We start from the raw sequence: 22,015 nt of genomic DNA, 5'->3' as shown, positions 1-22,015 counted from the left end.
TTTACGACCCACTTTGAACTTAAATAAGAAAATCACTCAACTTTGCTTTTTGTCTAGCATCATTTCCATAGTCCAAAATAAATATAAACAGCAAGTAATAAGTCATTAGCCAAAAAAAAAAAGCAAGAAATGCCCATTAAAATGACATATAACATAACCACATTTATTTAAGAATGTATTCCAGGCCGGGTGTGGTGGCTCACACCTGTAATCCCAGCACTTTGGGAGGCTGAGGTGGGCGGATCACGAGGTCAGGAGATCGATACCATCCTGGCTAACATGGTGAGACCCTGTCTCTACTAAAAATACAAAAAATTAGCCAGGCGTGGTGGCGGGTGCCTGTAGTCCCAGCTACTCAGAAGGCTGAGGCAGGAGAATGGTGTGAACCCTGGAGGCAGAGCTTGCAGTGAGCCGAGATCGCGCCACTGCAGCCCAGCCTGGGCAACAGAGAGAGACTCCATCTCAAAAAAAAAAAAAAAAAAAAAAAAATTCCAATATCAAATGGCAAATTCCAACAATGCAAAAACCACAATTAATTTTGTACCAACCTAATAATTCATGCTGCTTTGAAGGAAATCTCTCTTTTAGAATTTTTTTTTGTTTGTTTCTTTTTTTGGTTGTAATTTTTCTGCTGTTTCACTCTAATCTTTTTGTGTGGAATTCTTTTCTTCTTTTTTTTTTTTCTCCTAGTCAAGTGTGGTTGTGGGGGTAGAGGAAATGTTCAATCATCGTGTGGCATTCTTTATCTTGCCCTGTATTCATCGAGATTATTAGATCAATGCATCAGTATCTTTTTAAAGATATTGGTGATATTCTTACTGTTTCTGGTTACCTGCTGAAAATTACAATCTTGCTTTTATTGGCCTAGTATAGTTGCTCCTTAGTATCTGCTGGAAATTGGTTTCAGAACCCCGTGCAGATACCACAATCCACAGGCAGCTCAAATTCCTTATATAACATGCCATCATGTTTGCATACGGCCTACACACATCCTCCCACGTATTTTAAATAATCTCTAGATTGCTTATGGTACCTAATACAATGTAGATGCTATGTAAATATTGTTATACTGTCATGGCTTTTTAAAAATTTCTATTATTTTTTATAGTCGTGTTTTTAAAAATATACATGTATTTTTAATCCTTGGTTGAGTGAATCTGTGGCTATGAAGGGCCGACTATATTCATAGTTCATTTGTTGTTTGTTGAAGATAATTCCAGTTTCTAAATTTTCTAAGTCTGTGTCTGCTAGCTTATGATATTTTTTTCTTGTGTGCCTTGAGTACCAGTTGTATTTAAAAAATTATAGGAATATATGAGTCCTAGAATAATAGTATCTTTTTTAAGAAGGTACATTTTTCTAGGAAAGGTCTCTAGGAGTGCTTTCAGTCCCAAGTCACTATTCATGTTCAAGAGTTGGGATTCCTTCTGTTATACACATGACATTAAGGAAGACTTTAAGATCATGAATTCTATTTTCCTTCAATTTCCTCTTATCCTAATGATGTTGTCCTTAAACTCTGAACATAAATTGGGTAGTTTATCTGAGTCCCCAGCTTTGTTAGGCAATGTGCTTTTATTTTTATTTTTGATTTTGATTTTTTGTGTTTATTTTTATTTTAAATGAGGTCTCGCTGTATTGCACACAATCATCCTGAATTCCTGGGCTCAAGCTATCCTCCTGCCTTGGCCTGTCAAAGGATAGGATTACAGGCATGAGCCACCACACCTGGCCTTGTGCTTTGATTTTTTTACCATAGACCGGCACATCTTCCATTAGCTCAGCCTTTTTTCTCAGCCTTTTCTTCTAGACAGGAAAATGTCCTCAGAACAAAAGTTACTTGGTGTATGGTTTGTTTCTGGTTTACCTTCACATGGAATTTGGTAAGTAATTTCACATTACTTTATTTCATTCATTATTTAGTTTTTTTGTTGGCGTCAGCAGAAAGGTTGGTCCTGTCTGCCACTACCATAAATAAAACCCTAATTGTCTTTCTTTTTTACTTCTGAGATTTGATTTTAATATATTTATGCTTTGAGCCAAAATTTTTTTAACTTAACTCATATATTTAAAAATTTTAATTTTTAATTACTATGGATACATAAAATGGGGAGTATGTGATATTTGATATAAGCATACAATGTGTAATGATCAAATCAGGTAATTGGGATATCCATTACCTCAAGTATTTGTCATTTCTTTGTGTTAGGGACATTTCATTTCCACTCATTTAATTGTTCTAAAACATACACTAAATTATTGTTAGCTGTAATTACTATATTGTGCTACTGAACACTATATTTTATTCCTTCTATCTAACTATATTTTTCTACCCATTAACCATCTCCTCTTGATTCTCCTCTCAACACTACCCTTCCCAGCCTCTGCTAACATCTTTTTACTCACTATCTCTATGACTTCAATTTTTTTGAAGCTTCCACATATGGGTGAGAACATGTGATACTTGTCTTTCTATGCCTGGCTTATTTCCCTTATAATGTCAGTCACATCCATATTGTTGAAAATGACAGGATTTCATTTTTTTTTTATGGCTGAATAACATTCCATTGTGTATATGTACCACATTTCTTTATCCATCCATTGATTGACAGTTAGGTTGATTCCATATCCTGGCTATTGTGTATAGTGCTGCAGTTAACATGGGAGTACAGATACCTTTTATATACTGATTTCCTTTCTCTTGGGTATATACACAGTAGTGGGATTGCTGGATTATAGTTCTATTTGTTGTGTTTTTAGGAAGCTCCATACTGTTCTCTGTTGTGACTGTGCCAGTTTACATTTCCACCAACAGTGTACAAGGGTTCCCCTTTCTCCACATTCTCACCAGCATCTGATATTGACTGCCTTTTCGATAAAAGCCATTTTAACTGGAGTGAGTTGATACCTCATTATAGTTTTGATTTGTATTTCTCTGATTATTAATAATGTGGAACATTTTTTTCATATGCCTGTTTGCCATTTGTATGTCTTTTTGAGAAATGTCTCCTCAGATCTTTTGCCCATTTTAAAATCAGATTTTTTTTTCCTATTGAGTCGTTTGAGATTCTTATATATTCTGGTTATTAATCCTTTGTCAGATATTAGTTTGAAATATTTTCTCCCATTCTACATGTTATATCTTCATTTTATTGTTTTCATTGCTGTGCAGAAGCTTTTTGGCTTGGAGAGATCTCATTTGTTGTTATTTTATTTTATTTTCTTGCTTTAGTTGCTTGTGTTTTTGAGGTCTTATTTAAGAAGTCTTTGCCTAGACCAATGTCCTGGAGTTTTTGCCTAATGGTTTCCTTGATTAGTTTCATAGATGTAAGTCTTTAATGCATTTTTCTTTGATTTTTGTATATGGCAAGAGTTGGGGTCTACTTTTGTTGTTCTGAATGTGGGCATCCAGTTTTCCCAACACCATTTATTGAAGAGACTGTCCTTTCCCAATGAGTGTTTTTGGCACCTTAGTAAAAAACTAATTGGCTTTAAATACACAGATTAATTTCTGGACTCTCTGTTCTGTTGTTCTACATGTCTGTTTTTATGCCACTATCGTGCTATTTTGGTTACTATAGCGTTGTAGTATATTTTGAGGTTTGGTAGTGTGGTAAGTCTACCAGTTACCAGCTCTGTTCTTTTTGGTCAGGATTGTTTTGGCTATTTGGGGTCTTTTGTGCTTCCATACAATTTTAGGATTTTTTTTTTCTATTTCTGTGAAGAATGTCATTGCTCTTGATAGGGATGGCTTTGAATCTGTAGATTGCTGTGGGAAGTATTGTCATTTTAACAATACAATTTTTTTCAACCCATGAGCATGGGATGTCTTTTCATTTGTTTGTGTCCTCTTCAATTAATTTCATCAATGTTTGATAGTTTGCATTGTAGTTGGTTAAGTTTATTTCTAGATATTTAATATTATTTGTAGCTATTGTAAATGGGATCACCTTCTTGATTTCTTTTTCAGATAGGTTGTCACTGTTGGCATAGAGAAATTCTATGGATTTTTGTGTGTTGATTTTGTATTCTGCAATGTTACTGAATTTATTAGTTCTAATAGTCGTTTGTTGGAGTCTTTAGGTTAGTATAAGATCACATGAGCTGCAAACAATGATAATTTTACTTACTCCTTTCCAATTTAAATGCCCTTTATTTCATTCTCTTGTCTGTTTACTCTGGCTAGGACTTCTGTTACTAACTTGAGTAATAGTGGTGAAAGTGCCCATCCTTCTTCTAGATCCTAGAATAAAGGCTTTCAGTTTTTCCCCCATTCAGTCTGATACTAACTGTGGGTTTGTTGTGTATGGCTTTATCATGTTGAGGGATGATCCTTCTGTCCCCAGTTTGCTGAGAGTTTTTATGAAGGGATATTGAATTTTATCAAAAAAGATTTTTTTGGCATCTATTGAAATGACAATACACTTTGTGTCCTTCATTCTGTTGATACCATGTATCACACTGATTGATTTACATATGTTGAACCATCCTTACATCCCTGGGATGAATCCCACTTGATTATGATGATCTTTTTAATGTGCTGTTGAATTTGGTTTGCTGTGTTTTGTTGAAGATTTTTATATCTATTTTCATCAGAGATACTGGCCTGTAGTTTCTTTTTTGTTGTTGTTGTATCGTTGTCTGGTTTTGGTATCAGAATAAATCTGGGGCCAGGCATGGTAGCTCACGCCAGTAATCCCAGAACTTTGGGAGGCTGAGGCAGGCAGATCTCTTGAAGCCAGGAGTTTGAGACCAGCCTGGCCGACATGGTGAAACCCCATCTCTACAAAAAATACAAAAATTAGCTGGGCATGGTGGCTTATGCCTGTAATCCCAGCTAATCTGGAGGCTGAGGCAGGAGAATCGCTTGAACCCAGTAGGTGGAGGTTGCAGATCACCTGGGCAACAGAGTGAGACTCTGTCTCAAAAAAAAAAAAAAAAAAAAAAAGAATAAATCTGGCCTCATAAAATGAATTTGGAGATCCTCCTTGATTTTGGAGAATGATTTGAGTAGGATTGATGTTAGTTCTTCTTTAAATGTTTGGTAGAACTCAGTGAAGCCATGAAGTCCTGGCCTTTTCTGTGATGGGGGACTTTTTATTATTGTTTCTATCTTGAAACTTATTATGGGTCTATTTCGATTTTGGTTTTCTTAATGTTTCATTCTTCTTAGGCTGTATGTGCCTAGGAATTTATTCGTTTCTTCTAGGTTTTACAATTTATTGGCATGCAGTTGTTCAAATGGTCTCCAATGATCCTTTGAATTTTTGTGATATCAATTGTAATGTCTCCTTTTTTGTCTCTGATTTTATTTGGATCTTCTTTTTTTTCTTTTCTTAGTCTGGGTAAAGGTTCATTGATTTTGTCTGTCTTTCCAAACAACCCTTTTCATTTCATTGATCTTTTCTATTTTTTTGTCTCAATTTTATTTCTGTTTTTTATTATTTATTTTCTTGTTTTCTTTATTATTTCTCTTCTTAATTTGGGGCTTGGCATGCTCTTGCTTTTCTAGTTCTTTAAGATGCATTACTAGGTTGTTTATTTCTTGGTTTTCTACTTTTTGATTTGCACATTTATTGCTATAAACATTCCCTTTAGTGTTAGCTTTAACTGTATCTCATAAGTTTTAGTAGGTTGTGTTTCCATTTTCATTTGTTTCAAGACATTTTTTAATTTCCTTAATTACTTCATTGGTTGTTCAGGCACGTATTGTTTAATTCTTATATGTTTGTATAGTTTCCAAAGTTCCACTTGTTATTTATTTCTACTTTTATTCCATTGTGGTTAGAAAATATACTTTTTATCAGACTTGTTTTGCGGCCTAACATGATGGTGCTCTTTTTGGATTTCTGTTTGCATGCAATGTCTCTTTCCATCTTTTGGTCTATCTATGTTTTTATAAATGAAGTGGGTTTCTTATATGTAGCAGGTAGTAGGGCCTTGTTTTGTTTAGCCCTTCAGCTCTTCTGTGTCTTTTGATTGGAGAATTTAGGATCCATCCTTGAGAAATGTTCCATGTGCTAAGGAGAAGAATGTATTCTGCGGCTGTTGGATGACAGCTTCTGTAAATGTCTATTAGGTCCATTTAATCTATAGTGCAGATTAAATTCATTGTTTCTTTCTGTCTAGATGATCTGTCCAATGGTGAAAGTGGGCTGTTGAAGTCCCAAGTCATTACTGTATTGGGTTCTGTCTCCTTAACTCTAATACACTTGACTCTATATATCTAGATGCTTCTGTGTTGGATAGATATGTATTTATAATTTTTATGTCCTCTTGCTGAATTAAAACCTTTTGTATTATATGATAACCTTTTTTTCTTTCTTCATAGTTTTTATGTTGAAATCTATTTTATCTAAAAATAGATACAAAGCTACTTGGGCTCTTTTTGGGTTTCTGTTTGGTGCAGTATCTTTTTCCGTCTTTTTGTTGTTAGTCTATGTTTTTATAGTGAAGAATTTAGTCCATTCACATTCAGTATTATTATTGATAGGTAAGGACTTACTACTGCCTTTTTATTGTTGTTCTGGTTATTTTCTAGGGCTTTTCCCCCATTTTTTTCCTTGTTTTCCTTTGTGATAATTATTTTTTGGTAGTATGTTTTAATTTCTTGCTTTTTATTTTTTTGTGCACCTATTAGAGGTTTTTGTTTTGTGGTTACTATGAGGTTAGCAAATAACAATTTATAGCCAATTATTTGCAACTGATGACAACTCTGATTGCAAAGAAAAGAAAAAATACACGCACAGAAAAAACTAAAAACCTGTACACTTCTACTCCATCCCTTCACTTTTTGACTTTTTGTCTCTATATATTTTTATATTTTAAGTTTTGGAGTAGTTTTTTTTTGATAGTGTTATATAGAAAGTTTCGATGCTGCAAAAGAAATAGCACTCGAATACAAAATTTTCTTTTTAATATTCAGCAAGGCAAGCTACTTCTATATAGAAGGGTGCACCCTTACAGATGGAACAATGGTGAGCGCACATTTGGACAAGGGATGGGAAGGGGTTCTAATCCCTGACGTATGTGGCCCCTGCTGCTCTGTCGTTCCCCTATTGGCTGGGGTTAGACCGCACGGGCTAAACTAATTCCAATTGGCTAATTTAAAGAGAATGACAGGGTGAATGCTTTGGCGGGAGTCAGGGCAGAGCAGGTAGCAGGTAATTGGAATGAGTTAGGGTGGAGCAGGTGATTGGAATGTTGGGTGGAGCAGATGATCAGAATGAGTCAGGGTGGAGTAGGTAATCGAAAAAGGTTGCTTTACGAGGAAGTTAAGTTTAAAACTAGAAGGCAAAGAATTGAACATACTGACACACTAATTCTTTGAAAAGAAATTTAGAACTCATATCTAACAATCCCTCCCCTTGTATTTCCTTACAGCTTTCTTTTCAAACTTTTCTTAACATGTCTTGGCTTAGTTGTTTTGCTTGATTTTCTAAAAGAAGAAGGTTCTCTAGATAAGGTAGAGTTTAGAACTCTTCTAACAATATAGGTTTGTCTTTTAATCTTCCTGCTAAAGATATGAGCGGTTAGAGTATTCTGTATTTATCTGTGCACTTACTTTCACCAGTGAGTTTTATACCTTCAGATGATTTCTTGTTGCTTGTTAATGTCCTTTTCTTTCAGATTGAAGAACTTCCCTTTAGCATTTTCTGAAAGATGAGTCTGGTGTTGATGAAATCCCTCAGCTTTTATTAGTCTAGGAGAGTCTTCATGTCTCCCTGTTTCAAGGATAATTTCGGTGGATGTATTAGATTGGTGCAAAAGTTAACGTGGTTTTTGCCATTAAAAGTAATTACAAAAACCGTGGTTACTTGTGCACCAACCTAATACTATTCTACTCTCTTCTGGCCTGCCAGGGTTTCTGCTAAAGTTTGTCATCCTACTCTCTTCTGGCCTGTAGCGTTTCTGCTGAAGTTTGCTGCCAGATGTAGTATAACTCCTTCATATGAAGTTACTTCTTTTCTTTTGCCGCTTTTAGGATCCTTTCTTTGTCCTTTACTTTTGAGACTTTAATTATTATATGCCTTAAGGTAATCTTATTTGGGTTGAATCTATTTGGTGTTCTTTGACCTTCTTGTACCTGTATATTCATATCTTTCTCTCAGTTTGAAAAGTACTCTGCTATTATTTCTTTGAAAACACTTTCTACCTCAATCTCTTTCTGTAAGCCCTCTTTAAGGCCAGTAACTCTTAGATTATGACTTTTGGGGGCTATTTTCCAGATTTTGTAGGCATACTTCATTATTGTTTTATTATTTTTTCTCTTCTGACTGTATTTTCATAAACCTGTCTTCAAGCTCACTAATTTATTCTTCTGCTGTTGAGACTGATGCATTTTCAGCTTGTTGAATTTTCGAGCTTCAGAATTTCTGCTTGTTCATCATTTTAGTCTCTTTGTTAAGTTTCTCTGATATAATTCTGAATTTTTTATCTCTTTTATCTTGAATTAAATTGAGCTTTCTCAAGACCGCTATTTTGAATTTCCCATCTAAAAGGTCACGTATCTTTATTGCTCCAGGATTAGTCTGTTTGGTGAGGTCCTGTTTTCCTAGATGTTCTTGATAATTGTGGATATTCATTGATGTCTAGGCATCGAAGAGCTAGTCTTCACAGTTTGGGTTTGTTCATTCCTGTCACTCTCCAGGGGGCTTTCCAGGAAATCAAAGCAGATTGAGTGTTGTGACCTAAGCCTGTAGTCACTGCAGCCATTTTGGCATTAAGGAGCATCCAAAGCACAGGAACGCTGTGAGTCTTGCAGACTCCTACATACACAGTCCTGATGGACTTGGGAAGATAATTGGGAGAATTCCCTGGGTTACCAGGCAGAGTCTCTTGCTCTCTACCTTCCCTTTCCTTCAATCAGGAGTCTTTCTCTGTACTGGCCTGCCCAGTGTTGGTGGGGGGTGATACAGGCATTCCTGTAGCCACCACAGTTGGAACTATGCTGAGTTGCCTCTGAAGCATTGCAGACCAGCACAGTATTGGGGCTCACCCAAGGTCCACGGCCAGTCCTGCGTGACTGCCACTGGTTATTCAAGGCCAAAGGCCACTTTAGTTAGCAGGTGGTGAATTCTGCCAAGACTGAGTCCATCCCATCATGGCAGCCATTCCCTTCCTGCCTAGGGTCAATCTATAAATGCCATCCCGGAGCAAAAGCTTGCTATCAAAAGCTTCAGAAATCTGTCTTTTGCTTTATTTTACTGTGACTGAACCAATACTCCGGTTGCAAAACAAAGTTCTGTCTACTCTTCCTTTTCCTTACCCCAAGCTGAAGTAGTTGGGGAGGGGTGCCTCAGGGATTCCCTTAGCTGCCACGGGTGGTATTGCACTGGGTTTTATCTTAAGTCCATTACCTCCAAGGCCAGTGCAGTACCAAGGCTTGCCAAAGGATGCAGTCCTTGTGGCCTGTCACTCCAATTTATTCCGGGCCCTAGACTACTTTAGTCAGAATGTGATGAAAACCAATTACTCTCCTTGGGGGGAGGATTTCTCTCTGGCCCAGGACTAAGCTAAATGCTCCTTCTGTGGGCACCAGCAGAATGCCCTGTGTTGTGTTCTGCTGTTACAGAGCAGCACTGAGTTCCAGCGCAAAGTCCCATACTTACTTTCGCTCTCTCTCCCAAGCACACAGATTCTATCTCAGTGCTGTGCTGCCTGGGGTTGGAGGAGGGTTGGTGTAGTCAGCGCAAGACTGTCTTTCCTACCCTCTTCGATGCTTCTTTCCTTGATATTATGTTAAAACCAGGTGCCGTGATTACTCACCTGATTTTGGATTTTTTGTTTGTTTGTTAGTGTGTTTATTTGTTTGTTTTGAGGCAGGGTCTCACTCTGTCACCCAGGCTGGAGTGCATGGCGTGATCTCAACTCATTCCAGCCTCAATTGACCTCCTGGGCTGAAGTGATCCTCCCACCTCAGCCTCCCGAGTAGCTGGCACTACAGGCACATGCCACCATGCCCAGCTAATTTTTTCATATTTTGTAAAGACAGGGTTTCATCAGGTTGCCCAGACTGGTCTTGAACTGAGATCAAATGATCCACTCGCCTTGACCTTCCAAAGTGCTGAGATTATGGGCATGTACCACTGTGCCAGCTGATTCTTATGAAGGTTGTTTTTTTTTTTTTTTTTTTTTTTTGCATGGATAGTTGTTCAGTTTGGTGTTCCTGCTACGGGATGATTCCTGGGGGATTCTCTTCAGCAATCTTGTTCTGCCTCCTCTGCAAGGAAAAACAATGTCTATTTTAAATTTTTCTTTTTTATTATAATTTAAGTTCTGGGATACATGTGCAGAACATGTAGGTTTGTTACATAGGTATACACGTGTCATTAACCTGTCATCTACATTAGGTATTTTTCCTAATGCTATCCCTCCCTTAGCCCCCCCATCCCCCAGCAGGCCCCAGTGTGTGATGTTGCCCTCCCTGTGTCCATGTGTTCTCATTGTTCAGCTCCCACTTATGGGAACATGCGTTGTTTGGTTTTCTGTTCCTGTATTAGTTTGCTGAGAATAATGGTTTCCAGCTTCATCCGTGTCCCTGCAAAGGACATGAACTCATCCTTTTTTATGGCTTCATAGTATTCCATGGCGTATATGTGCCACATTTTCTTTATCTGGTCTATCATTGAAGGACATTTGGATTGGTTCCAAGTCTTTGCTATTGTGAACAGTGCTGCAATAAACATACGTATGCATGTGTCTTTATAGTAGAATGATTTATAATCCTTTGGGTATATACCCAGTAATGGGATTGCTGGGTCAAATGGTATTTCTGGTTCTAGATCCTTGAGGAATCGCCACATTGTCTTCCACAATGGTTTAACTAATTTATGTTCCCACCAACAGTGTAAAAGCGTTCCTGTTTTTCCACATCCTCTCCAGTATCTGTTGTTTCCTGACTTTTTAATGATCACCATTCCAGCTGGCATGAGATGGTATCTCATTGTGGTTTTGATTTCCTTTTCTGTCATGACCAGTAATGATAAGCTTTTTTTCACATGTTTGTTGGCCACATAAATGTCTTCTCTTGAGAAGTGTCTGTTCGTATCCTTTTGTTGCCATTGCTTTTGGTGTTTTAGTCATGAAATTTTTGCCCATGCCTATGTCCTGAATGATATTGCCTAGGTTTTCTTATAGAGTTTTTATGGTTTTAGGTCTTATGTTTTAGTCTTTAATCCATTTTTGTATAAGGTGTAAGGAAGGGGGGGCCAGTTTCAGTTTTCTCCATATGGCTAGCCAGTTTTCCCAACACCATTTATTAAATAGGGAGGGAATCCTTTCCCAATTGCTTGTTGTCATCAGGTTTTTCAAAGATCAGATGGTTGTTGTTGATGTATGGTGTTATTTCTGAGGACTCTGTTCTGTTCCATTGGTCTGTATATCTGTTTTGGTACCAGTACTATGCTGCTTTGGTTACTGTAGCCTTATAGTATAGTTTGAAGTCAGGTAGCGTGATGCCTCCAGCTTTGTTCTCTTTGCTTAGCATTGTCTTGGCTTATGCGGGCTCTTTTTTGGTTCCATATGAAATTTAAAGTAGTTTTTTTTCTAATTCTGTGAAGAAAGTCAGTGGTAGCTTGATGGGTTTAGCATTGAATCTATAAATTACTTTGGGCGGTGTGGCCATTTTCATGATATTGATCCTTCCTATCCATGCGCATGGAATGTTTTTCCATTTGTTTGTGTCCTCTCTTATTTCCTTGAGCAGTGGTTTGTAGTTCTCCTTGAAGCGGTCCTTCACATCCCTTATAAGTTGTATTCCTATGTATTTTATTCTCTTTGTAGGAATTGCGAATGGGAGTTCACTCATGACTTGGCTCTCTGTTTGTCTATTATTGGTATATAGGAATGCTTGTTATTTTTGCACATTGATTTTGTATCCTGACACTTTGCTGAAATTGCTTATCAGCTCAAGGAGATTTTGGGCTGAGACAACAGGGTTTTCTAAATATACAATCATGTCATCTGCAAACAGACAATTTGACTTCCTCTCTTCCTATTCAAATACCTTTTATTTCTTTCTCTTGCCTGATTGCCCTGGCCAGAACTTCCAATACTATGTTGAATAGGAGTGGTGAGAGAGGGCATCCTTTTCTTGTGCCGGTTTTCAAAGGGAATGCTTCCTGTTTTTGCCCATTCAGTGTGATATTGGCCGTGGGTTTGTCATAAATAGCTCTTATTATTTTGAGATACGTTCTATCGATTCTTAGTTTATTGAGAGTTTTTAGCATGAAGGGGTGTTGAATTTTGTCGAAGGCGTTTTCTACATCTATTGAGATAATCGTGGTTTTTCTCATTGGTTCTGTTTATGTGATGGATTACATTTATTGATTTGCATATGTTGAACCAGCCTTGCATCCCAGGGATGAAGCCAACTTGATCATGGTGGATAAACTTTTTGATGTGCTGCTGGATTCAGTTTGCCAGCATTTTATTGAGGATTTTTGCATTGATGTTCATCAGGGATATTGGCCTGGAATTTTCTTTTTTTGTTGTGTCTCTGCCAGATTTTGGTATCAGGATGATGCTGGACTCATAAAATGAGTTAGAGAGGAGTCCCTCTTTTTCTTTTATTTGGAATAGTTTCAGAAGGAATGGTACCAGCTCCGCTTTGTACCTCTGGTAGAATTTGTCTGTGAATCCATCTGGTCCTGGGCTTTTTTTTGGTTGGTAGGCTATTAATTACTGCCTCAATTTCAGAACTTGCTATTGGTCTATTTAGGGATTCGACTTCTTCCTGGTTTAGTCTTGGGATGGTGTCTGTGTCCAGGAATTCATCCATTTCTTCTAGATTTTCTAGTTTATTTGTGTAGAAGTGTTTATAGTATTCTCTGATGGTAGTTTGTATTTCTGTGGGATCAGTGGTGATATCCCCTTTATCATTTTTTATTGTGTCTATTTGATTCTTCTCTCTTTTCTTTATTAGTCTGGCTAGCGGTCTACCTATTTTGTTAAAGTTTTCAAAAAAGCAGCTCCTGGATTCATTTATTTTTTTGAGGGGGTTTTTGTGTCTCTATCTCCTTCAGTTCTGCTCTGGTCTTAGTTATTTCTTGTCTTCTGCTGGCTTTTGAATTTGTTTGCTCTTGCTTCTCTAGTTTTTTTAATTGTGATGTAAGGGTGTTGGTTTTAGATCTTTTCTGCTTTCTTCTGTGGGCATTTAGTGCTATAAATTTCCCTCTACACACTGCTTTAGCTGTGTCTCAGAGATTCTGGTACATTGTGTCTTTGTTCTCATTGGTTTTAAAGAATGTATTTATTTCTGCCTTAATTTTGTTATTTACCCAGTATTCATTCAGGAGCAGGTTGTTCAGTTTCCACATAGTTGTGCAGTTTTGAGTGAGTTTCTTAATCCTGAGTTCTAATTTGATTGCACTATGGTCTGGGAGACTGTTTGTTATGACTTCATTCTTTTGCCTTTGTTGAGGAGTGTTTTACTTCCAATTATGTGGTCAATTTTAGAATAAGTGCGATGTGGTGCTGAGAAGAATGTATATTCTGTTGATTTGGGGTGGAGAGTTCTGTAGATGTCTATTAGGTCCACTTGGTCCATAGCTGAGTTCAAGTCCTGAGTGTCCTTGTTAATTTTCTGTCTTGTTGATCTGTCTAATATTGACAGTGGGGTGTTAAAGTCTCCCACTGCTATTGTTGTGGGGGGGTCTAAGTCTCTTTGTAGGTCTCTAAGAACTTGCTTTATGAATCTGGGTGCTCCCTTATTGGGTGCATATATATTTAGGATAGTTAGCACTTCTTTTTGCATTGATAACTTTGTCATTATGTAATGTCCTTCTTTGTCTTTTTTTATCTTTGTTGGTTTAAAGTCTGTTTTATCAGAGACTAGGATTGCAACCCCTGCTCTTTTTTGCTTTCCATTTGCTTGGTAAATATTCCTCCATCCCTTTATTTTGAACCTTTGTGTGTCTTTGCAAGTGAGGTGGGTCTCTTGAATATAGCACACCGATGGGTCTTGACTCTTTATCCAATTTGCCAGTCTGTGTCTTTTAATTGGGCCAGTTAGCCCATTTACATTTAAGGTTAATATTGTTATGTGTGAATTTGGTACTATCATTATGATGCTAGCTGGTTATTTTGCCCGTTAGTTGATGTAGTTTCTTCATAGTGTCAATGGTCTTTACAATTTGGTATGTTTTTCCAGTGGCTGTTACCAGTTTTTCCTTTACATATTTAGTGCTTCCTTCAGGAGCTCTTGTAAGGCAGGCCTGGTGGTGACAAAATCTGTCAGCATTTGCTTGTCTATAAAGGATTTTATTTATCCTTCACTTATGAAGCTTAGTTTGGCTGGATATGAAATTCTGTGTTGAAAATTCTTTTCTTTAAGAATGTTGACTATTGGCCCCTACTCTCTTCTGGCTTATAGGGCTCCTGCAGAGAGATCCGTTGTTAGTCTGATGGGCTTTAAATTTCTAAAATAACATTCGGCTCTGCAGTATAAGAAGCCAAGTTAATGAAATTAGAAAATATATTTAAGCAGCCTGTTTCTTCTCTTTCTCTTTTTCTTTTAACTGTTGCAAAGGTAAAAGAACACATGCTTAAGTTTTTAACTGCTTCTCCATAGCTTATGATTAAAAACAGTTCTTACTTCTTTGTCACAGGTTAGGTTCTCCAGAATATTTTCCTTCAGATTGATACCATGGTGCAACGAAATGATTGGGCCTTTATCGCCTTATTTGCTTAATCCCAGGAAGGCTGTGATGTTGGACAAGGTAGCTGTCACTACCCCAGTTTTCCCCAAATAGAGGGAAATACTTCTAAAACTTTTTTTGGCTTATTCTTTTGGTATATACTTCTGTATCTCTAAATAACATTTTATATTGCTACCTCCTGTTTTTTCAGTTTTAGGCATTATCTCTTGACTTACTATAGGTGATGTAGATTTAGCCTTTTTCCACAAACATCCCATCCATTCCCCCCATCTTCCCATTGATAGTTTAATTTTTCATATACGACCATTGAGCATTTGTATAGTTCTAAATATTTATTAGTCATTTAGACCCAAACTATCTGCTGGTTGTCAAAACAGCCTTTCCATATATTCAGAGGTATCAAGTATTTTTATCAGTTTATCCATCATCAAGAAATTTCTCCCAGAGCATTCTTATGTGCTGCAGTTTTAGCCCATTGCTTGATATAGTTGCTGCTGGTGCAGTCTCTATCCTATGCTAGTTCCTCTGTTTCCTATATCCTATGTAATCCTTTGGCTTGTGTATTCTCTTGGTTTATTCCATTTTCTAGTAGCTTTCTGAAAGGCAAGTGTTCTGTGGTATTATATTTATATAAGTGTCTTTATTTTACCCCAACTATTAGTTTAGCTGGCTTTCAAATTATAAAGGTGAAATTGTTCTTAAGAGCTTTGAAGGAATTCATAGCATCTGTTGTAAAATTAGAAGCCCTTCTTACTTCCATCACTCTTCAGATCACTTTTGTCTCCTCTGTGGAAGATTATACGATCTCATTTTGAAACTTATCAAATGTTTCTCTTTGTTGTATCTAGAGTTCTGAAATGTCACAGCCATGTTACTTATTATGAGTCTATAGTCTTTCATTTTGCCATGCATTTTATGGGTCCTTTCAGTCTGACAATTTGTGTCCATCAACTCTGGGAAAATTCCTCATGTTTTTTCTTTAATTTTCTTGCCTTTGTTTTTGGTTCTGGAACTCTAATTAAACATTCTACCTCCTGGACCTATTTTTTTTCTGTCATTTTTTATGTTTTTTTTTTCTTCATACTTTCTGGAAAATTTACCTTTTTCAAACTTTTGAGACTTTGATTTCTGCTATCATACTTTTAATTTCCAAGGCCTTTTTTGATCTCTGTATAATTTTCTTATTATATCCTGTTATGTTTTCTTTTTATGAATTAAAATTATTGTTTGGTTTTGAAATTTATTGCTTCCTGCTTTCTCTACTTTTTCCAAATTATTCTTTCTGTTAATATGTTTTCATCTTTTTAATCGAGGCTTTCCTCAGCTATGTAGCAATCATTGATTGCATGTTCAAATTTATGTTAGATTCATTAGAAAGCTATTTTAGAGCTCTGTGAATATGGCTGGGCATTTTGTGGGTGGAAACCCCTGGTGTCATTATCTTTAAGTTTGGAAACCTTTTTTCTAGGGTTAATAAGAGTCTAATAAGAAGAGTTCTCCAAGCTTCTGCCTTTAGGTCAGTGATTCTCAAGTGGGACAATTTGGCCCCCTAAGAGAAATTTAGCAGTGTCTAGAGACTTATTTGATTGCCACAGATAGGTTGCTCCTGAAAACTGATGCATAGAATCTGGGGGTCTTGTTACATCCTACAGTGCATAGGACAGCTCCAACAACGAAGAACAATCAAGTTTAAAATGTTATCCTGAGAAACCCTGCTTTAGGGTATAAGTCTGATTGCCAGTAGTATGAGAACTATGTGAAAGAAGAGAGCTAGGGGGCCTCAACGTTCAATATATAAACACTCTCTTAATCCTCTCCTCCCCCTCAAAACCTTTTTGTCTGATACCCTCACCTTCTGCTGTGTCTTGTGTCCTCAGGGTAGATTTCTTCTGTCTTACCCTGTGTAGAAAATAAGCCTCATGGCCTCTGATGAAGTGGGTTAGAGGCTTCTGTTTAATTTGAGCCATGTTAGCACTGCAAGTCTTTTAGAAATGGTTTTCTCATTGAATTCTAGCCCAAATTAAAAGACCAGTTATTTAGTGAACTTGTTGTATGTTTATATTATTTAGAGTATTAGCTGACGAGACTGGATGGCTTTGTATATTTTACTAAATGCATAAGTAGAAAAATAAGACATGAGTTGAAGATTATAAACCAAAAGGTAGATGAAACCTGGAATTGACAGCTGTTCCCATCCTTTCATTTCTGTTTTATTCTCTCTTTTCATTCCTGATCTTGCTCAAAGCACTGATCTTAAACATGCTTTGGGGTTGCTACCTTTTCCTAATCTCTTTTTAACCTTTATCTTATATTCTCCCATATCTCTCCTCACCTCCAATAAAACATAACAAATTCTTAGTCCTATACTACTTTTTTGATTAATAGGGGAATTGAGAATAGTGTGAAATTTTGACCTGCCTTAGTCTGTTTTGTATTGCTATAAAAGAATACCTAAGACTGGGTAATTTATAAAGATATGAGGTTTTATAGCTCACAGTTCTGCAGACTGAGAAGTTCAAGAGCATAGACCTGGCTTCTGGCAAGATCTTTCATACTTCACAACACGGTGGACAAGGTCAAAGGAGAAAAAGAAACATTCAAAGAGAGGAAAATCTGAGGAGTGCATAGTGGCCTTATAACAACCCACTCTTGTGGGAAGGAACTAAGCCATTCGCCAGAGAACTAATCCAGTCTCATGAGAGCCAGAACACACTAACTCCAGAATAGCACTGAGCCATTTATGAGGCATCTACCCGTAGAACCCAGACACCTCCCTCTAGGCCTCACCTTTCAATATTGCCACGCTGGGGTTCAAATTTCCACATTAGCTTTGGTGGTGATAAAGAAACCAAATCCAAATTATAGCATGACCAAAGTGAGGTCAGACTTTTTCAAGAATTAAGTTCTGATCTGTTGGCTTTTCACTTGCACATTTTCACTTTCTCCTTTGTTTCTTTTTTGTATTGTTTACAAAAATATCTAATACAGATAACCCAGACATGTCAGTCTTAAATGCACTCTTAATATGACCACTTGTATGGTTTGTTTATGTCTCAGTCAACTTACTTTATAATGAGTAAATACCAAAACTATTTTCCCTAAAAAGCTGGGTTTCAGCTAATATCCATTAGACTTTGGTGTTTTTTTAATTATGTCCAGCATGTTATACCAACACTGCTGCAATATCTGGTGAGCATCATGTTTTTAAAATTTTATGTTAAAACACATTTTATGTTTGTAACATGTTTAAAAGTTAAAATAGAATTTTAGCATCATAATTTACACTTAGAAATTTATATATTCAAATTGTAAAGTACAAGATTTGATTTAAATGTGCAAGAAAATTTTTAAAGTTACAAACATAATATACATTCAGTATAAAAGTGATTAAAAAATGAAAATTACCTATAACCTTTGCACCCAGAAATAATTCCAAGATGCTAATATGTGTAATATTAGTCTTTTTAAGCTATGTTTTTATACATTTAATGGCAGCATGAGATCATAGAGCTTTGTCATGTACTTTGAGAAGAAATAATCATAGATAACATGTTTTCATTATATTAAATACTTACAAAATAACAATATGTTTGTTTGCTTTATATTGCAAGAGTCTCTTCTCAACCATTAGGAATTATGCTCTTGAATAGTGTGATGATTGGTGTTGACAAAGAAAGATAAGATATAAAAAATTTTCTTACTTTGGTATATAAATGTTCTTGAAATGTCTTATTTCTTTAAAAACGACAAACATATGAATAAATTCATTCTTTGTTTTGTACATTCTATGGATTTTGATAAATATATAATGATCCATTATTACAGTATCATTCAGAATAATTTAATTGCCCTAAAAATCTCATGTTCCATACTTCTCTTTTCTTGACAACCACTGATCTTTTAGTGAAAAGATCACTAAAACATCTATTTCTGTAGTTTTGCCTATTCCAGAATATCATATAGTTGGAAACATACAGTAGGTAGTCTCTTCAGATTGGCTTCTTTCACTTAGCAGTATACATCTAAGTTTCCTTCATGTCTTTTCATGGCTTTATTTCTTTTACATGCTGAGTAAGATTCCATTGTATGGATGTACCACAGTTGGTTTATCCATTCACATATTGAAGGACACTCTTGCTTACTTCCAAGTTTTGGCAATTATAAATAAAACTGCTGTAAACAGGAAGGTACAGGTCTTTGTGTGGACCTGTCTTCAACTCATTTGGGTGTAACCAGGGTACATGATTGCTAGATTATGTAAAACAAATATGTTTAGTTTTATAAGAAGCTGCCAAACTGTTTTCCAAAGTGTCTGTGCCATTTTGCTTTTCCATGAGCCATGAATGAGAGTTCCCATTGCTCTACCTTCTCACTAGTATTTGGTATTGTCATTGTTTTGGATTTAGCCATTGTAATAGGTGTGCAATGGTATCTCATTGTTTGATTATGTAATTCCCTATTGACATATGATGTTGAGCATCTTTTCATATGCTTATTTGCCACCTCTGTATCTTATTTGGTGAGATGTTTATTTGGATGCCAATTTTAAACTGGGTTATTTCCTTGTTGAGTTCTTTGTATATTTTGTGTAACAAAATAAGTGTTTTTCACATATTTTATCCCCATGTGTATTTTGTGTTTTAATTTTCTTAGTAGTGCCATTTGGTAGAGCAGAAGTTTTTAATTTTAATGAAGTCTAAATCAATTTTTTATTTTCTTTCATGGATTGTACTTTCGGTGTTGTATCTAAAAACACATGGCCATAACCAAGGTCACCTAGATTTTCTTTTGTGTTACATTTTTGGAATTTTGTTTGTTTGTTTGTTTGTTTTTTGAGATGGAGTCTCACTCTGTCACCAGGCTTGAGTGCAGTGGCACAATCTTGGCTCACTACAACTTCCACCTCCCGGGTTCAAGTGGTTCTCCTGCCTCAGCCTCCCAAGTAGCTGGAACTACAGGCACACACCACCATGCCCAGCTAATTTTTGAATTTTTAGTAGAGACGGGGTTTCACCACATTGGCCAGGATGGTCTCGGATCTCTTGACCTCATGGTCCACCAGCCTCTGCCTCCCAAAGCACTGGGATTACAGGCGTAAGCCACCGCACCTGGCCTGTTTTTTGTTTTTTTTTTTTTTGAGATGGAGTCTTGCTCTGTCGCCCAGGCTGGAGTGCAATGGCGTGATCTCGGCTCACTGCAACCTCTGCCTCCTGGGTTCAAGCGATTCTCCTGCTTCAGCTTCCCGATGTGTCTGGAATTTATTCCTTCCATTGGGTTCTTCGTCTCGCTGACTTCAAGAATGAAGCCGCAGACCCTCGCAGTGAATGTTAAAGCTCTTAAAGATGGTGTGTCTGGAGTTTGTTTGTTCAGATGTTCAGATGTGTCCGGAGTTTCTTCCTTCCATTGGGTTCGTGGTCTCGCTAACTTCGGGAGTGAAGCAGCGGACCTTCGCAGTGAGTGTTACAGCTCTTAAAGGTGGCGCGTCTGGAGTTGTTTGTTCCTCCCAGTGGGTTTGTGTCTTGCTCACTTGAGGAATGAAGCCGCAGACCCTCCTGGTGAGTGTTACAGCTCATAAAGGCAGTGCGGACCCAAAGAGTGAGCAGCAGCAAGATCTATTGTGAAGAGCGAAAGAACAAAGCTTCCACAGCGTGGAAGGGGACCCCAGCAGGTTGCCACTGCTGACTCGGGTGGCCAGCTTTTATTCCCTTATTTGGCCCCACGCACATCCTGCTGATTGGTCCATGCCAACTTTTATTCCCTTATTTGGCCCCACACACATCCTGCTGATTGGTCCATTTTACAGAGCGCTGAGTGGTGCGTTTTTACACAGTGCTGATTGGTGCATTTACAATCCTTTAGCTAGACCAGAGTGCTGATTGGTGCATTTACAATACTTTAGACACAGAGTGCTGATTGGTGCGTTTTTATAGAGTGCTGATTGGTGCATTTACAATCCTTTAGCTAGACACAGAATGCTGAGTGGTGCATTTTTACAGAGTGCTGATTGGTGCATTTACAGTCCTTTAGACACAGAGCGCTGATTGGTGCGTTTTTATAGAGTGCTGATTGGTGCATTTACAATCCTTTAATCCACAGAGCGCTGAGTGGTGCGTTTTTTTATTGAGTGCTGATTGGTGCATTTACAGTCCTCTAGCTAGACAGAAAAGTTGTCCAAGTCCCCACTCGACCCAGGAAGTCCAGCTGGCTTCACCTGTCACCAAGTAGCTGGGATTACAGGAGCCTGCCACAATGCCCAGCTAATTTTTGTATTTTTAGTAGAGACAGGGTTTCACCATGTTGGTCGGGCTGGTTTCGAACTCCTGACCTCAGGTGATCCACCTGCCTTGGTGTCCCAGAGTGCTGGGATTAGAGGCGTGAGCCACTGTGCTCGGCCATTTTTGGAGTTTTATAGTTTTGCATTTTATATTTAGGTCTGTGATCCATTTTTAGATTTTTTGTGTGTGAAACTTGTAAGGTCTGTGTCAATTCATGTTTTGGCATGTGTATGTCTAGTTTTTCCATTACCATTTGTTGCAAAGATTGTTCTTTTCTCCATTGAATTGCCTTTGCTTATTCGTAAAAGACCAGCTGACTATGTTTATGTGGGCCTATTTCTGGGCTCTGTTTTGTTCCCTTGATTTGTCTGTTCTTTCACCATTATCACACTGTATTGATTAGTATAGTTTTATAATGTCTTGAAGTTGGGTAGGTTTTGTCCTCCAACTTTGTTCTCCTTCGGTATCGTGTTGGTTCTCCTGGGTCTTTCTGTGTATACTTTAAAATCAGTTTGTCATATCCACAAAATAACTATCCAGAATTTTGATTGGGATTGCATTGAATTTATAGATCAAGGTTGGAAGAACTGACATTTAACAATACGAATTTTTTTCTACTCTTGAATGATCTCATTTATTTAGACTTTCTTTGATTTCTTGAATCAGAGTTTTATAGTGATCCTCATAGAGATCTTGTACATATTTTGTTAGATTTATATCTACATTTTTGGTGAATGTTTTTTGTTGTTGTTGCTAATGTATATGGTATTATTTTAATTTCTAATTTCAGTTGTTCATTACTGATACATAGGAAGGAAGTTGACAATTTGTATATTAACCTTGTATCCTGCAACCTTTCTACAGTAGTTTATTAGTTCCAGTGATTTTGTTGTTATTTTGGGATTTTCTACGTGCATAATCATAGCATACTATTGGGACAAAGAATGATGAGAAAAGGTATATAAAGAATGATAAAAATATAATAAAACAGTGTATTTGAGCCTATTTCTTCATAGTTGATCATCAATTATTGTCCCATTGATAGCCTTTTAACTTTGGGGAGTAAAAGGGATTGCAGAA

General features: G+C 37.0%; 1 protein-coding gene across 10 annotated transcripts in view, besides 1 other annotated feature; it reads left to right on the top strand.

The window, feature by feature from the left end:
- Positions 1 to 22,015, top strand: part of ORC4 (origin recognition complex subunit 4) — a 91,156-nt gene that overhangs the window by 5,755 nt on the left and 63,386 nt on the right. The gene's annotated exons all lie outside the window — the stretch shown is intronic.
- Positions 6,654 to 7,853: an enhancer, noted in NCBI's record as "P300/CBP strongly-dependent group 1 enhancer chr2:148765513-148766712 (GRCh37/hg19 assembly coordinates)". NCBI's record gives its function as "activates an origin of replication core promoter dependent on BRD2, BRD4, P300/CBP, MED14 and CDK7 cofactors, with strong dependence on P300/CBP, by STARR-seq in HCT116 cells {active_cell/tissue: HCT116}" and the evidence as "EXISTENCE:reporter gene assay evidence [ECO:0000049][PMID:35650434]".

The sequence above is a fragment of the Homo sapiens genome, chromosome 2 (genome assembly GCF_000001405.40).
Source record: "Homo sapiens chromosome 2, GRCh38.p14 Primary Assembly".
NCBI lineage: Eukaryota > Metazoa > Chordata > Mammalia > Primates > Hominidae > Homo > Homo sapiens.
This window is presented reverse-complemented; position numbering and strand designations above follow the sequence as displayed.